Raw genomic sequence first — 15,318 nt, 5'->3', positions numbered from 1 at the left:
CCAAGGCGGGCAGATTTCTTGAGGCCAGGAGTTTGAGACCACCCTGGGCAGCATGGTGAAATCCCATCTCTACTAAAAATACAAATAAAAAATTGGCCAGGCATGGTGGCAAGTGCCTGTAGTCCCAGCTACTCGGGAGACTGACACATGAGAACTGCTTGAACCCAGGAAGCAGAGGTTGCAGTGAGCCAAGATCAAGCCACTGTGCTCCAGCCTGGACGACAGAGCAAGACCGTGTCTCAGAAAGAAAAAAAAAAAAAAAAAAAAGAATGCAACTCAGCACCCTGCACTTAGCAGACACTCAGTCAAGTGGCAGTTGTAATTAAGTCATCACATCCCTCCCCTGCAGCTCCCCACAGACCAGGAAGCCTGCTCCCTTTAACAGTGTCGAACAAGACTTGATTGTTTGCTTGCTTGCTTAATTAATTCAGGGGGCTGCGGTGCAAAGGGGAATGGAGGATGATGGAAATCAGATAGCAAGTCTCCACTAGGCTGGGCTGATGCCATGGTGACGCCAGCATGAGGCCCTGTAAGCAGCAGAGGAGTCTGGGGCGACACCCGTGTGACCTTGATAGCACCAAACCCAGAAACAGATATGCGGGCCCTCAACCAACAGTCTCTTAGGAGGCGGAACACCCCAGCGCTCCCCCACCGGGGACTGAAGCCACAGACAGCAGTCCGTGCCACTTAGCACACAGAAGAGCTGGCAAAGCGGGGACACATGGGCTGAGGGAGCTGGGTCAGGCGGGGCGAGCTGGAGGTGCTAGTTGAGGAGGTGGTGGAGGAAGGATTCATGGGAAAGCTCCAGGCGGAAGGAAGGAGCCCTGGATGCAGACCCTGCCCAGGGAGCAAGGGTGTGCTTCAGAGCCCTCCCTCCCTGGCCCATCCTCCCTTGCGGACTCCTCCCTGGCTCATCCCCTTCCAGGGGAGCACTGCCGCCCCCAACATGAGATCCAGGACATGCACCCAGGTGAACAGCTGCCCTCAAACCCCCACTGCAGCAGCAGGGCCCCCACATCCCACTTCTGGAAATAAAGTAGCTGATCACCGGTGCACTGGGCTCCTTATTAACTCTAAGGGCTCCCGGGGTGATAAGTAGGTGCTAAACAAGTGAGGACCATTTAAACTGGCTTCTCTCCTACATCCAAGCCTTGAATACTGAAGATGTTACAAACGCAGAGGTAATCTACCCGATTTTAGGATGAAAGTGATCGTGAAAACAGGAGGGAGGGTTTTAATGGCCGCTTTCCTACAAAGGTTAACTGGTTTAGCATCTCTGTGATTGTCCCTATGTAAATCCCTGAATGGCAAAAGCAATACCAAAATTAACCAACTTTCTACATTTAGGAAGCCATTAGAATTATTTGTTGGTTGACTTAATAACTGGCTGTTGGAAGAAAAAAGAAAATGCAGGGAAGCAGAAAGAAAAATTAATCAAATCACCAAACTCCTACAACTTGAATCGATATCATGAATATTTTGGGGTATTCATACAGGCCCTTTAAACAAAGTGTGTAGCTACTGCCCCAGGTGCAGTAATGCATGACAGTGAAGAAAGTACATGGGCTTTTGGGGAACATTTACAGGCTGTACGACCTTGGACAAGTCACTTACCCTCTCTGGGCCACAAGTCTCTCATCAGAAAATACAGATAATAGTACTTTAAACACACAGGTTTACGGGAGGATTAAATGAGATAATGCGTTCCAAGTGTCCACCACATAGCAAGTACTCAGTAAATACTGGCTGTATTATGATATTTTTTTACAATGTGTTCTTTAACATGCTTGTTCACTTACATAAAAGATGATTATCAAACATCTTTTCATGACAGCAAATACACTACATTTTCATAGTTAATTGTTAGGTATATTTATTATGCATGTGAGCCATAAATCAATCTCTCTCCCTTTGTTCCCCTCTTTTTTGAGAAGGAGTCTCACTCTGTCACCCAGGCTGGAGTGCAGTGGCGCAATCTTGACTCACTGCAACCTCCACCTCCCAGGTTCCAGCAATTCTGCTGGAACTCAGCCTCCCAAGTAGCTGGGATTATAGGTGCCCGCCACCAAGCCCGGCTAATTTTTGTATTTTAGTAGAGGCAGGGTTTTCACCGTGTTGGGCAGGCTGGTCTCGAATTCCTGACCTCAAGTGATCTGCCTGCCTCGGCTTCCCAAAGTACTGGGATTACAGGTGCGAGCCACTGCGCCTGGCCTGTTGCCCTTTTAGATTGCTGCCAGTTTATCCCTTTAAGAGATGGCACTGCAATGAGCATACTGACCCATTCATCATGGCTCCCCCATTCAATTCATTTATTTAGGAAACTCCCCAGAGAAAACTGCTGAAAAAGAATATACTTACATAGTTATGTGGGATTTGGCTTTTAAGAAAATGAGCAAAATTTAAGGATTTCAGGATGTCTCAAAATAAAGAATACACATAACACAAAATACAGTCACAAAGATTAAGCCAAGAATAAAAGTTTCTTAAATTTTGCGTGAGACTATCACCTCTCAGGAAAGTGTTTGTGGATGTATCACTGCTTACATTTAAAAAAAACCTAGTGATTCATCAGTACCGCCCAATTACCTATGAAATCAAAACTGAAATGTTCTCTCAATAAGAAAACTCCGAGTGGGTGTCTCCAATGGTATATGTAATACATGCACATCTTGTAGGTGATTTCAGTTAGACTTCTAATTTTGCCATTGTCAAGGAACTATAAGCTCATGCATCCAAGACGCTGGACTAAAATAGTGTTTCTCCAAGTCTGGTTCACAGACCGCCTGTGTCAGTGCAGATTCCTGGGTCCCATCTAGACCTCCTGAGTCAGGATCTCAGATGCAGAAGACACATTTTTAAATGAAGTCCCCACGAGACTCATATACATGGTAAAATACAGCAGGTACTATCTTCATATCATCCATAAGTAATTACAAACATCCCATGCAACCCCCATCCCTGAAGTTTCCATCCACATTTTAAATCTTTTCAACTTCAGACCCTGGATACAGCGTCTCACTTTTCTACATTTGTTTAGATACAAAGCGCTTCAATTTTTCAGTTCAATTTAACAAAAAATATGAGACGCCTATAATACGCCAGGCATCAAGTAGGGAGTTTCGGAAGACTTGCCTTGTGCCCAAAGAACCACTTTGAAGGTGAAAATCCACCGTCTGGATTTTAGGCAATATTGCCAGATGACAAAGGGTTGGGTCATTCGATGGCACCCTGCCTGCTCTAATGTATCACCTAGTGGCCTTTAAAAAGCAACATATATATTACAGATAAAACAGTCACAGTGTCGCTTTATGCCAGGCCCTATTCTAAGATTTTTACACATAGTAATTGATTTCAATCTTATAGCCATCCAGTGTGGCTAGTGCTCTTATGCTGTTATTATCCCCATGTTACAGATAAAAAAACTGGGAGTTAAATAATTTGCCTGAATCACAAAGTTAGAAGTGGCAGAGCTGAGATGTAAACCCAGGCAGTCTGGGTCCAGAGCTATGCTGTTCATCAACCAGAGCAGACTGTCTCTCTCAGGTTCAAATCTCACCCCCGGTTTCCATTGAGGAAGATCATTTTGAATGAGTCTTATATGTGGATCTGAACTTCAGAATGGTCATTTCACAAACACACAGAAAATGGTGAAAGGCTCTCATGCAGAACAGGTGGTTGAAACAATTCTCTCTTCATTCTGAACTCCTCTCAACCTGATCAGTGACTCCAGGGTAGGGTCAGGCAGTTTTAGAATCAGGAGATGAGAATTCTGGCTGCACTGCTGATGCTAAGTGATTAACTCTAGATTTAACTCTTCATTGGTTTAAAATGTGATATTTTGGCCAAAGATGGGGGAACTTGGAAAGAAAAAACTGCAAAAATACATACATCATATCTTATTTGCTACTCGCATGCTATAATCAGATATAATCCCAAATTTGTTCTCTTTTGTTGGAAATAAACAGGATGTGATTTGTTTCGGAGATTCACTAAGGAGAAATGCTACAGGCAACATGCCCTCTTACAAACCAGCCTGCCCCTGCATCTAGCTTATCTGTATAATACAGCACCTATGAGATTACACTCTGGGTTTGAACCCTAGCTTTGCTGCTTACTCTCTGCTCTCAAGCAACTTAACTTCTCTAGGCATCAATATTCTTCTCTGAAAAACAGAAAAATAGGATGGGCAGTGGTGGATCGCTTGAGTCCAGGAGTTCAAGACCAGCCTGGGCAACATAATGAGACCCCGTCTCTACAAAACATAAAATGTTAGCCGGGCATGGTGGCATGCACCTGTAGTCCCAGCTACTTGGGAGTCTGAGGTGGAAGGATTGCTTGAGCCTGGGAGTTCCAGGTTGCAGTGACCTATGATCACACCACTACACGCATCTTGGGCGACAGAGTGAGACCCTGTCTCAAAAAAAAAAAAAAAAAAAAGAAAAGAAAAGAAAAAAAATAGTATCAAATCTATAGCGCTATTGTGAAGATTAAATAATTATACAAAGTGCTGACCTCACATACTGCACCTGGCAATGCCTCACTAACTGTTAACCACTGTTCGCCATCCCTGTCATTAAAGCTTATCAAAATAGCCAGCTATGGTGGTGTGCACCCGTAGTCCCAGCTACTCCAGAGGCTGAGGCAGGAAAATTGCTTGAACCCGGGAGGCAGAGGTTGCAGTAAGCCGAGATCATGCCACTGCACTCCAGCCTGGGCGACAGAGCAAGACTCCATCTCAAAAAAAAAAAAAAAAAAAAAGTATCAAAATAGCTTTATTTATCGCTTCATTCAATATAATTATGTCTGTGCCACTGTGGAGGTTGAGGGGATGTGGAAGGACTGTCCTTACCGTCAGGAAGGCTTCCATCAAGTACAGGGAACAAGTAGGGCGACCACATGTTTGAGTCTGCCCAGACAATCCTGGTTTATGACTGTTGTCCCAGCTTAATTATTAATGGCTCTCCTCCCTTCACTTTCAAAAGTGTCCTGGTTTAGAGGATAAATATGTTCACCCTAATGATAAGACAACTGAGCTAGAAATACCTGCAGTGCTTGGCAGTACCAAACAGGTCTCCTGGCAGTGATGCAAACAGGCTGCTCGAGTTCTTTGGGGATGGAAAGCTCCATTCTGCATGTGGAGGGAAGGAAGGACACTTGGAGGTAGCAGTGGCAGGGGCTCAACAGAGGCAGAGGACACCTGGGACAGGAATGCAGCCAACTCAGATGGAGGATGGAGAAGCCCAGCACTCAGTGGGCCATCACGCCACCCATCCCCTCTGTTCTCCCAGAAAAGAGTGGACAGAGCCAGATCCAATAGTGAAAACGGGCAGGTGCATTGCTTATTGCTCAGCAATGCCACAGGTTTTACTGGACTAGTTGGGATAGAGATGGAAAATGCTTGGGGATGAAATAAGTACCTCAAGGCATCCAAGTTAAAAAATTTCAAGCTTATTAATCCATCCCAGCACCAACTGCTTTAATCTGATCAACATCTAGCTGAAGTCAGCCTCAGGGAATTTTAATAAGAGGACAGGAAGAGGAGGAATCACCTGCAGAATCACTGATACCCCTCTCACAGGTCCCTCCTCCTCCCCCAGGTCCCTCCTCCTCCCCAGGTGCCACCCTTGCTGTTTTAGGAGGGAATTTTGGAACCAGACAGCAATCTTCACATGATCCTCCCGTGGAAGTACTGGGATATCTTGGACCTCATTAGGCTGGGGTAGTCACCAAAGCTCATAAAAAAGAGGCAAAATCTTGGAGGCTCTGCAATAGCATCATCTGTGATGAAACTCCAGGACTTTACAGGTTTTACCTGGGCCTTCCCTTAGGCAGAGTTTCTGATCAACACAAGCTGAATTATAAGCTGTATTATCTGAATTATGGCTAACACACAGCTCTGGCCTAATGCCTACAAGCCACCCTTTCACAACCACTTGGGAAGAAGGTGACAGAAAAGGACCGATGGAATATTCTAGAATGAGATGCTTGAGAAGAAAGCTCACGGAATCATGGAGTCAACCCCCCTCACGATCTACAGATTACGAAACTAAAAGCTAGAGAGGTTGAGATGTCTCCTGGGTCAGGTAATTTGGGCCAGGCCAGGGAGCAAGACTCAGGCCTCTAGCTAACCCCTTTACTCTAAAACCAACTAAGCTGAGAGGTCAACATGAATTGCAGTACTTTACATTTGTATAAAACTTAATTTGTGAAATTGTGTCCACATCTATCTTCCCATAGGAAGCACCTTTTCTGTCTTTATATTATGAACGAGAAACATGAAATATGCAGGCTAAGAGACCAGGCATGGTGGCTTATGCCTGTAATCTCAGCACTTTGGGAGGCTGGGGTGGGCAGATTACTTGAGCTCAGGAGTTCGAGACCAGCCTGGACAACATAGCGCAATCCCGTCTCTACAAAAAAATACAAAAATTAGCCGGATGTGGTGGTGTATGCCTGTAGTCCCAGCTACTCAGGAGGCTGAGGTGGGAGGATCACTTGAGCCTGGGAGATGGAGGTTGCCTTGAGTCGAGATCGCACCACTGCACTCCAGCCTGGGTGACAGAGACCCTGTCTCCAAAAAAAAAAAAAAAAAAAAAAAAATATATATATATATATATATATACATATACACACACACACACACACACATATATACACACACATATAGATAAACACACACACACACACATATATGTGTGTATATATATAGGCTAAGGGATTTGCTCCAGACCAAAGGTCACTGGAATTGTCAACAATTGAGCCTAGATTTTCAAAATCCCCAATCACCTACAGTAATTTAACTTAAAATGCACAGAATTCTGTACAAGGTAAGAATTGCCAAAATTAACCTTCAATCTCTTACACAGATGTTCTGGTAGAAATGCCACTGAATGGATGGCTGGGATCCCACGGTTGGAGTTCTGAGTTCACAGTATTGACCAATCTGCCAAGTACCTCTCAGAACAGTATGGTGATGTGATGTTACTCATTCATGTTACTCCCTATGAAGAGGAACTGCACCTGTAAGTTATTTTATAAACACAGGGAATTCATTGTAACTGATACCTCTTAAGTGCTTATTTAGGATTAGCATGCAACAGTTTATTGAGCAGCTATTTTGCAGAGGGTCTTTCACCTGTTCACTTTAGGTTTGTGAGCATAGTCTCATAAATTGGTATCCATTTAGCAAATGAGAAGACATAATTAAGTTGAACATTGCCAACTTGCCCAATACCATAAAGCCAGCAAAAACACAGCTCAGATTCAAACCTGGTCTTATGAGGCCAGGAACTAATTGTTTTGACTACAACAGGACAGCTTTTATTTAACCTAAGTAGACATTTAACCAGGAGAGAAAAATAGACCTGATGAGACCATTTTACCCCATTTACTATCAAGACCATCTTTTAGAATGCAACAGTGTAACAGACTCTGAAGGGCTGAGAAGATCATTTAGAAAGGTACAGAAATAGCAGAGTTCCAAACGTCTAAGACTTTACATTTTTAATTCCTTTTAACTACTGTTTTAGGTACAGCAGTGGCTTTTCCTGGATACCTCTCTCACCTCTGTCACTTCTATTTAACAGTCTCTGGCTTCCAAACCATCATTTTTCACCTGTCCTCCCAGCTCTCACTAAGTCTTTTATCCACAGGTGTGACCAGGGGCTTTTTCTTAGCTCAGGTTCCAAGCTGAGGAATTCTTGGCCAAAGGCCTGCGCACTTGTGCTGAACAGTGGGTTTCTTTGTAATTCCTAACATCAACTTCCACAAAGCACACTTTTTGTTTCCATTAAAGAAATCAGATTTTGTGAACTCACCATGGTCCTGTTAGAAACTTATCAAACTCCTAAATTGTTTGCAAATTGAGGCCAGTTATAAATGCCTTGCTTTTGGCACGCTGAAAGCAATGTTTTCAAAAGATTTTACTTTCATCCAATTATCTGAAAACAGAAAGGAGAGGGGAAGAGGGCAACCTGAAAACCTGAAAAGATCATTTTGACATGAAAATTATTGTTACATGGAGACCAACGTGGAGTAAAAACCTCACCTGTTCCTCTCAATGCATGTCACAATTTAGATGATGATTTAATTTAAAATTTGCTCACTATGAAGTGCTTTTTTTAAAAGACTGATTTTGGAATTTTGTGAGTGTGCTTTGTCTCTAACTTAAATCATATTGAGTCAATAATTTCTTCAATCCACAAGAGATACACATAAGATTTACTGGAGTAAAAATGTCTCATCCTTTCTTTTCAAGGAATTCAGCCAACAGAGCAAGCCAGCTACTCACAGTTCACCTATAGCTCGCTCTACCCATTATGCAGCTGGCCTGTGAGTTACTTCTCATTCTCCTTTCTCTTCTAGTTCTGCTAGCTCACCCCTTCAAACTCACTGCTATTATTTAACTTTGACAAATTTTCTACAACTAATTCATCTCCTCAATTCAGCTAATAGGTCAATTAAGATCTCTTCCCAGATTGTGTTTTCTCTGTAGAAAACAAAACTGCCCAATCGCCTTCTAACTTCAGCACCACGCCCTGAAAATAAGACCACAAAGGCAATTTACTTTTAATAAGTTAGTCAGGTGCATATCCCTATGAAAAAGCCTCGCTGGAAAACAGAGTAATTAATAAAAGCCTCAGAAAATGGTGTAAAAAAGTTTGCTTTAAAGCATACTTTCTACCTATAGCAATCTATATTTGTACTTATTAAAGACCTTGTAAGGCTTCTGGATTTTTTTTCCTTTAAGTACTGTAAATTGCATCATGAATAAAACACATAAAAAGATCGCCTGTGTTGACATCTAAAAGGTTATCTATATGATTGTTATCCTTAAGGGTACACACTCTAAAAAGCAGGAAGCTTTTTAGAGCTGATCACATTATGACAATCTGCAGGGATGGTTCCAGTGGCAGATTTACAGTTCTCACAATCTTAAGGATAAAGCAAACTTCAAAAGTACAAAGCATATTGGTCACGAGATGGACACCTAATACAAATGTCTCCATTCACATTTCTCAGACTACTCAGGAGAGACAACAGTTGCCTATTTGAAATGTTTTCTGCATAGAAACAAAAGGTAAATGAGTGCTGCCTTGCTGTCAATGCTCAATTCATAACAACAAAGAAAAACCATGGCTCAGATAACGTTAATTGGTGCATAATAAATCATTTATGTGAGCCTTTGGCATGCGTTTAATACTTCTGCTTAAATAAGAAAGCATACGATAATCAGGGAGTATTAAACATTCATACGTCTGTTTTCTCAGTGGATATATGCTCAGTAAGATCAATTTTCTGTCAAGGAGAATTATCTTCATTTTAAGAAATATTTATTGAGCGTTTAGGATTACACAGGACTTATTCCAGGTACCAAAGAGTATACAAAGAGTTAATCTATTTGGAGGAAGTAAATATAGCTGCCTATAAGTAACTATAGGATAAAGGCAGAGTAAAATCATCAGTAAAGGGAAGCCATTTAGTGGCTAAGAGCACAAAGCCTGGGTCAAACATATCTCAGGCAGTTTCCTCTGAAAAGGGGATTAAATGAGATCATGTACCTAAAGGGCTTAGTCCAGGGCTTGGGTCATCTACTCACACCCTCTCCTTTTCTTCCTCCTACTTAAGCTGCAGGAAGCCAGCAAGACGGATACACCTTCCTCCCACTTCTCTCTCCTCCCTCCCGTAGAATACATTTAATACCAAGACTCATTATCCCAACTGTCTTGCTCAATAGATGCCAGAAATCCAACAGAACACTGAATTTCGGGACTTTCCAGAAAATCTGCCCTAATTCTAGTGAATTCTCCCCACAAAAGCCACAAGAAAACTCCACTTATAAAGGCGAGAGCCTATTCTAGGAACTTCAAGATGCAAAGATAAATGCTGCTTTTACAATGTGAAGTCCCCTTTTTCTTTTCTCCTAAGGTTTGGGCTGCAATGTGTCTTTTCAAAGATTCTTACAGATAGACCTTTGGGGACTTTTTAAACACATACAATGGAAACTACTGCTTTTCAAAAACCTGGTACAATTAGATTTTACCTTCTTCAGTTCTGAAACAGTATGCAAGTGGGAAAATAGTATTCGAAAGCCTTCACTGAGCCACTCACGTAGAAGAAAAAAATCACATCAAAATTGGTCTAAAATCAGATGGGGTTATGCAGAAAACCATGATGGGATAGAAAAGTGGAAATGAAAGAGAAAACAGAAAAATCACTGGCTGAGTGAATCCATTAATGTGTGCCTGAGGGAGCCCCGTCAGCAGCCAGGGAGAACTGGAAACCCCAAATCAGGCGAAAACCATACTGCATCATACGTTACGGGCAGCTGCCAGGCATCAATCACACCCTCCCTGCTCCCGCACTCCCCCTACTTCAATCACATTGACTTTTGCTACTTTTTCTGGTAGAGCTGGCATCTTCCGGCCTCCACGTCTCTGTTCTTCATTATCGTTCCCTCTCTCCTCTTCTCCATACAGGGCTACTTGTTTAAGGTACATCCATTCCCTAAGATCAAATTCAAATGTTACTTCCTTGATTCCTATTTTTTGGCACAAAACCCCTTTGGTTTTATGCCTCTGGAGTCATTTATTTTGTATATTTTTTATGGTAAGTGACTCCCTTGTCTGTGATTCCTATGAATGAATAAATGAATTTACTGATTGATTGAGATGGGGTCTATGTTGGTCAGGCTGGAGTGCAGTGGCTATTCACAGGTGAGATCCCACTACTGATCAGCATGGGAGTCTTGATCTGCTCCAGTTCTGACCTGGGTAGGTTCACACCTCCCTCAGGCAACCTGGTGGTCCCCGACTCCTGGGAGGTCACCATATTGATGCCAAACTTAGTGCACTCAACTGGCACAGTGCACTACAGCTCAGTGCTCCTGAGCTCAAGTGATCCTCCTGCCTCAGCCTCCTGAGTAGCTGGGACTACAGGTGCACACCACTGCCCTTGGCTATAATCTCCTTTAAAAAGCCCATTCCAGGCCAGGCACGGTGACTCATGCCTGTAATCCCAGCAATTTGGGAGGCCAAGGCAGGCAGATCACAAGGTCAGGAGTTTCAGACCAGCCTGGCCAATATGCTGAAACCCCATCTCTACTAAAAATACAAAAATTAGCCAGGCATGGTGGCACGCGCCTGTAGTCCCAGGTACTCGGGAGGCTGAGGCAGAAGAATCGTTTGAACCCGGGAGGCAGAGGTTGCAGTGAGCCAAGATCGTGCCACTGCACTCCAGCCTGGGTGACAGGGTGAGACTCCGTCTCAAAACAAACAAATAAATAAATAAATAAGCCCATCCCTAGTTTGTCCATTTCTATATCCACCCCGTGGCTAGCACAGTGCAGAGCACATGGAAGATGCCCCTTAATTGTCTGCGTAATTAAATTGGCTTTATTGGAATAGCGCTCTTTCTTAATGAATTTACTTGTAACAAATACTATGAATTCACTAAATGATAGATAATTTGCCTCATTAAGAAATCATGACTTATTACTTATGGAAAGAAAGGAGCTGCCTTTACATTCGGATGGCTGGTTTGCTTTACCGAGGATAAAGGACAGCAAATCCCCAAGGCCAATACCAACGCTTCATTTTTCTGGTCTCACACTAAGAAAATCAGTAACTGTTTCCTCTAAGATTCCTTCCATGCAACTGTAATGGGAGAAGATTACCCTGTGTAAATGAACTTATGGTAAAATAACAAAAGGGTTGACTAAATAAAATAACAAAACAATAAAACACACACAGATAGACATGCAATGTTTACTACACAATTTGGCTAGCTGGTGCTCATCTTTGCAGTGTCTTTTCATCAAAATGTACATACCTGTGAAAGCAAAACAGGATGAATTTTAGTGTGAGTGAAAGGATGTACAACTGCTGGGATGTTTGGGGCACTTTAAAACTTTCTCCAACAGGTAAGATTTCTAAGACCTCTAGGATGCTATTCTGACAAAACTAGACATTGAGGTGCCTAAAAGCCCGCAAGGCAGCCAGGCACAGTGGCTCACACCTGTAATCTCAACACTTCGGGAGGCTGAGGCGGGTGGATCCCCTGAGGCCAGGAGTTTGAGACCAGCCTGGACAACATGGCAAAATCCCATCTCTACTAAAATACAAAAATTAGCCTGGCATGGCGGCACATGCCTGTAATCCCAACTACTCGGCTGACTGAGGCATAAGAATTGCTTGAACCTGGGAGGCAGAGGTCGCAGTGAGCCAAGATCGCACGACTGCACTCCAGCCTGGGCTATATAGACTGAGACTCTGTCTCAAAAAATTAAAAAACAAAGAGGAAAAAAAAAAAAAAACCTGCAAGGCACCTCACTAGTTGAGGGAGACAGAAAAAATACATTTCCCCATCAGGTAAGATCAACAGACTTCACCTGTTATCTCCTGTGTCCCAGGCCCATGAGACACAAAAGTGAGACTTATCTCAACCTTAAGGAGCTCAGGATCCAGTGAAGGCATCCAACAACCACCAGGCAATTATAACATTGAACATTGGAAATCGTGGGACAATTGAGCAGAGGACAGATGACACCCAGCCTGGAGAGCCAAGAGGCATCAGGAAGGCTAAAGAGTGGGAGAGTCTGCTCAGAGGAAGTGGCACTAAAAGGTACAGGTGAGAAAGAGCTCAACCCAGCTGGGCATGGTGGTGGCTCATGCCTGTAATCCCCTGCACTTTGAGAGGCCAAGGTGGGTGGATCACCTGAGGTCTGGAGTTCAAGACCAGTCTGGCCAACATGATGAAACCCAGTCTCTACTAAAAATACAAAAAGTTACTCCAGTGTGGTGGCGCATGCCTGTAATTCCAGCTACTCAGGAGACTGAGGCAGGAGAATCGCTTGAACCCGGGAGGCAGAGGTTGCAGTGAGACAAGATGGTGCCACTGCACTCTGGCCTGGGCAACAAGAGCGAAACTCCGTATCAAAAAAGAAAGAAAGAAAGAAAGAAAGAGCTCAACCCCTTCTAGAACACGCAAGTGGCTTAATAGAGCAGGTGATGAAAATTGTCACTAGATGATACCATGGCCTCTATAGCAAGGCTGTGGGGAAACAGACACTCTCACATTGTTCTCTGTAAACCAGATTCCATGGGGCTTTGTGGAAACTGAGCCAAGTCCCACTTAGATTGGTGCCTGACGCAGAGAACATGTTCAGGAAATATTAACCACTAACAATTTTATTATCTATATTACTACATTAGGACAAGTACATCTGATTTACTTGATTTCTTAATGGAAAGCTAAAGTAAATCTATAAACATTTAAGAAACAGTGACCACCTTCAAGAAAAGAAAACTATTGGAAAACCAGAACCAGGAAGACTGGGTAGAGTCCACGCTGTTGGAGGAAAATAAAATCCAATGTATGGGCTGGCGCAGTGGCTCACACCTATAATCCTAGCATTTTGGGAGGCCGAGGCGGATGGATCACTTGAGGTCAGGAGTTCAAGATCAGCCTGGCCAATATGGTGAAACCTCATCTCTACTAAAATACAAAAATTAGCCAGGCGTGGTGGCGGGTGCCTGTAATCCCAGCTACTCGAGAGACTGAGGCAGGAGAATTGCTTGAACCCAGGAAGCGGAGGTAACAGTGAGCCAGGGTCACACCACTGCACTCCAGCCTGGGCAACAGAGCGAGACCCTGTCCTAAAAAAAAAAAAAATCTAATGTATGCGTCTTTTGAAAGACTTACAAAGGAGAGAGATCAACTGATCTGGTACGTGCAGTGTCAAGACCGAAAAAGGATGATTCACAATGAATGACTTATTGACATTTGGTTTGGTTGATATCAGTTACTCACATACCCAAGGACAAGTTCATTCAGAGTAGTTTTCCTTGGAAACATCCTTCCTATCTACTGCCCTGAAGCCAGCTCAGCAGCAACCAAGGCCGCATCATGTTGTAAATAATCTTCAGTGAAAACAATATGGTCACAGATCACCGAGAGCTTGTTGAAGGCTAAATTTGTCTCTTTCCCCACTTTTCTATTTTTAATCACCTACCCCAAACAAAAAGAAAAGCAATACATAAAACCAGATAAAGACGATACTCTTAAATTCCTTCAACCAAAAGAAATGAAAACACGACTCCAAACTCATTCCCTAAACCTCCCTCTTCACTTCGAGACTTCCTCTAAGCGCCACTTTGGAACTGACCACCCACCGCTCAATTGTTTCTGAACCCTTGGTTCAATGTAGCACTGGAAGGGCCAAGAACCTGCATTATCCAGTTCGGATGACAAGAGTGGGTTTTAAGATTTTCCATAAAGACCTGTGGAGGAGAGATACTGAAAATAGGAACCACTTATCCCTTAAATCTGACTCCTGCCTGAGGCTCCTGAACCACCTGAAATCGAAGAGCTTGTCCTTCCTCATTAGTATCCCTGTTCCCAGCTGCCACAAGCAACATTTAAGAGCCCTTCGGATATCCACCTTAGGGTTTCTTCCAATCCATGGCCTCCCCGCACCACAACTTCCAGGCAGGGCCAAGGAATAGAGGACTTTCCCAGACCAGGCCATGCCTGCTAAACACTCGTCAGAGAATACTGTGGCAATGCCTATGAGAAAACAGTGAGTATTTTTCTCGTGGAGCAGCTAAGACTCATGGAGGACTGATGCTCTCCAGGCCTTTCCCCTGTCACCCCCAAGTACTAAAACAGAGTTCCAACCAAGTAAGGGCGGGCTGGCTTGGATCAATACCCACTGTCACCCCCTCAGCCAATGTGAAAGGGTCCCATGGTTTAGCCAAACTCTTCAGCTGTGGAAGCCCTTCCCTCCAACTTCAAATACTGCAAAGAAGTGAAATACAGTTAGGGTCTTGGTAATCAAGTTCGGCGATGTTTGAGTGGAAAAGTTATTGTGAAAGAATGGTTTTTATGATACTTCTGAGTGATATGAATATTCCTAATTCTACATATAAATTATCCTCTCAGAATCTAATTGTCTTCAAAGATGTCCTGACCATCACTGCTATAATTTTGGCCTTGAGAATATTAAATTTAAGGAGTGATAAAAACAGAGCTAAATAAGAGACATTTAAACAATGGGCAGTTTAGTAGGAGGTTAAATAGTCAGAGGCAACAAGAAATAATTACTTAATCCAGTTCTCCAAAAGAATAATTGCAACAAGCTTGCTTAAGGTACTTTGAGCTTTTGTGCAAGTTTATGCCTACTATAAATATTTCTATAATCCTTTTCTGTTCCCGACATACTTGAGAGAAGCCTAAAAGCATCTCTGAAATATTTTTGGTGCTGGCATAGAATAAACTTATTAATATTTGAGACGCAATTTACTGAGTTATCTGTCAACA

The 15,318-nt window shown here is 43.1% G+C and overlaps 1 protein-coding gene and 1 pseudogene across 8 annotated transcripts in view, besides 1 other annotated feature; both read right to left on the bottom strand.

Annotated features, from left to right (window-relative positions):
* PRKCA (protein kinase C alpha) overlaps positions 1-15,318 on the bottom strand; it is a 508,131-nt gene that overhangs the window by 435,757 nt on the left and 57,056 nt on the right. The gene's annotated exons all lie outside the window — the stretch shown is intronic.
* RN7SL735P (RNA, 7SL, cytoplasmic 735, pseudogene) lies at positions 10,668-10,958 on the bottom strand (annotated as a pseudogene).
* Positions 14,020-14,520: an enhancer, noted in NCBI's record as "H3K4me1 hESC enhancer chr17:64356585-64357085 (GRCh37/hg19 assembly coordinates)". NCBI's record gives its function as "activates a minimal SCP1, AML or CMV promoter by ChIP-STARR-seq in naive H9 embryonic stem cells {active_cell/tissue: H9 hESC(naive)}" and the evidence as "EXISTENCE:reporter gene assay evidence [ECO:0000049][PMID:30033119]".

Source organism: Homo sapiens, chromosome 17, assembly GCF_000001405.40.
Source record: "Homo sapiens chromosome 17, GRCh38.p14 Primary Assembly".
NCBI lineage: Eukaryota > Metazoa > Chordata > Mammalia > Primates > Hominidae > Homo > Homo sapiens.
Note: the sequence above shows the minus strand (reverse complement) of the source record. Positions and strands in the feature narration are given on the sequence as shown.